The sequence below is a fragment of the Homo sapiens genome, chromosome Y (assembly GCF_000001405.40).
Source record: "Homo sapiens chromosome Y, GRCh38.p14 Primary Assembly".
NCBI classification, from domain to species: Eukaryota; Metazoa; Chordata; class Mammalia; order Primates; family Hominidae; genus Homo; species Homo sapiens.
In genome coordinates, this window is record NC_000024.10 from 3,578,046 (window position 1) to 3,580,572 (window position 2,527).

General features: G+C 43.6%; 1 protein-coding gene across 1 annotated transcript; it reads left to right on the top strand.

Annotated features, from left to right (window-relative positions):
• The first annotated feature begins 1,021 nt into the window (after nucleotides 1-1,021).
• On the top strand, nucleotides 1,022-1,996 carry TGIF2LY (TGFB induced factor homeobox 2 like Y-linked). Its single transcript, NM_139214.3, has 2 exons — nucleotides 1,022-1,082; nucleotides 1,179-1,996. The coding sequence occupies exon 2, from the start codon at nucleotides 1,200-1,202 to the stop codon at nucleotides 1,755-1,757; it is 558 nt and encodes a 185-aa protein (NP_631960.1). The 5' UTR covers nucleotides 1,022-1,082; nucleotides 1,179-1,199; the 3' UTR covers nucleotides 1,758-1,996.
• The last annotated feature ends 531 nt before the right edge of the window (nucleotides 1,997-2,527 follow it).

Below are 2,527 nucleotides of genomic sequence, written 5' to 3' on the forward strand. Positions count from 1 at the left end.
AAAATTTAAAAAATTAAAAAATATATTTAAATAAACTGTCTGTGATGGCCATTATTTCTTGAATTCTATCTTATTCCACTTATTCCACATTACTAAAAGATCCCTGAATTTCTGACTGAAGTTTAAAGAGAAACATCACAACTAGATATCAGAGTCCAAGGAAGAGACACAAAGACCTCAGTGGTACTGACAGGCAATAGCAAAGTCATTCGAAAGACAAAGATTTTGGCTGGTCGTGGTGGCTCACGCCTGTAATCCCAGCACTTTGGGAGGCCGAGGCCAAGGAGGGCAGATAATGAGGTCAGGAGATCGAGACCATCCTGGCTAATATGGTGAAACCCGCCTGTACAAAAAATATAAAAAATTAGCCGGGCGTGGTGGCAGATGCCTGTAATCTCAGCTACTCGGGAGGCTGAGGCAGGGGAATTGCTTGAACCTGGGAGATGGAGGTTGCAGTGAGCCGAGATGCCGCCATTGTGCCACTGCACTCCAGCCTGGGCGACAGAGCGAGACTCCATATCAAAAAAAAAAAAAAAAAAAAAAAAAGACAAAGACAAAGATTTTAAGGCCATAGAGAAGAAAAATTTAAGCAGCAAGGCATCAAAAGCAAAAGTCTAGTTCAAAATTATTATTAATATCTGCTTTGAACATGGAAGAATGGAAGAGGGGAGTCAACGTACAGTAGTTACACTCTTTTATTGAGTTTAGTAGCTAATCAACAATTTGTTCCTGATATATCTAGATGAGCCAGTGAGACAATTATAAGTAATAACGGGAAGAACAATACCAGAGTAAAATCAAATAGGAAGAAAGTGATAGGCGTATTTACACTAATAGAAATAGAGTCCGTCAGTTAGTGGAAACTGGTGACAACAGCAGAGAAAACTCTGGAGAGCTATAAACTGCGTGAAATGAAGTGCATTGGAAGTTACAGAAAATACGCAAGAACAATGGGAGAAGAACTCCAGGAAGTGTAGGGGAGGGGCAGCGTGGAGAAGAAAGGATGTGACGTCACTGAGATAACCAGCTCGGCTGTTAGCAACTCTGTTAGCAAAGCTGTTTGTCTTTCTCGGAAACAACAGGTGAGAATTCCCCTTACAGACCTGCCCATGCTTTCTAAAGTGGCTCTCCCAAACCTACCTTTGTCCTAACTCAGTTGTCTGTGATTCTCAATATAGTAACGATAAGCCTCTTTGAATATGGAGGCCGCTGCAGACGGCCCGGCTGAGACCCAAAGCCCGGTGGAAAAAGACAGCCCGGCGAAGACCCAAAGCCCAGCCCAAGACACCTCAATCATGTCGAGAAATAACGCAGATACAGGCAGAGTTCTTGCCTTACCAGAGCACAAGAAGAAGCGCAAGGGAAACTTGCCAGCCGAGTCCGTTAAGATCCTCCGCGACTGGATGTATAAGCATCGGTTTAAGGCCTACCCTTCAGAAGAAGAGAAGCAAATGCTGTCAGAGAAGACCAATTTGTCTTTGTTGCGGATTTCTAACTGGTTTATCAATGCTCGCAGACGCATTCTCCCGGATATGCTTCAACAGCGTAGAAACGACCCCATCATTGGCCACAAAACGGGCAAAGATGCCCATGCCACCCACCTGCAGAGCACCGAGGCGTCTGTGCCGGCCAAGTCAGGGCCAGTGGTCCAGACAATGTACAAAGCCTGCCCCTGTGGCCCTTGCCAAAGGGCCAGATGTCAAGAGAGAAGCAACCAGATCCGGAGTCGGCCCCTAGCCAGAAGCTCACCGGAATAGCCCAGCCAAAGAAAAAGGTCAAGATTTCTATCACTTCCCCGTCTTCTCCAGAACTTGTGTCTCCAGAGGAGTACGCCGACTTCAGCAGCTTCCTGCTGCTAGTCGATGCAGCAGTACAAACGGCTGCCGAGCTGGAGCTAGAGAAGAAGCAAGAGCCTAATCCATGATTGATGATGTTCCAAAAACCCAAGTAGTCAGTCCCTTGTGTACTGTGGTAAACCTGTTTATGTTCACCCCAACTTATTTGTATGCTTATCTTTTATAGAGGCATCTTTCTTTCTACTGGTTTTATGAGTACCAATCTTAATTATTGGGACTAAATTCTGTCAGATATTTCAGTGTTTCCAGGTGAAAGACACTAAGGTGCCATCATAATGAACACTGCAGCAAAGATTTCTTAACTCTCCTTCCTCCTGGATTTGAACTCTTTAGACCATCAGACTAGTACATCTGAGATTAAACATCAAGCTGAGATTTCAGAGATAAATGTTTTTGGCTTTCTAGCCAACTTTCTTAATCCCAGGGTTGCTACATATAATAAGTCACCCCTCTTTCTCCCTCTCTCTCGGTAATCTCTGTTCATTAGTATGAGTGATAGAAAAGAAAGCCTCTATAAAAATGGCTATAACATCCCTCATTTTATTGTTGGAGTTTTGTGAAGCTTTCAATTCTTATATTCCTTTTTGTACAGTTTTGGCCAATTTTGAAGAAGTAGTTATTCTTTGCAGGGAGTTGACCATGAGAGCCAAAGTACAGTAAATTCATGAACA

Excerpts from the sequence above, each read along its gene's own strand:
- TGIF2LY (NM_139214.3), top strand. The coding sequence starts at position 1,200 with ATGGAGGCCGCTGCAGACGGCCCGGCTGAGACCCAAAGCCCGGTGGAA.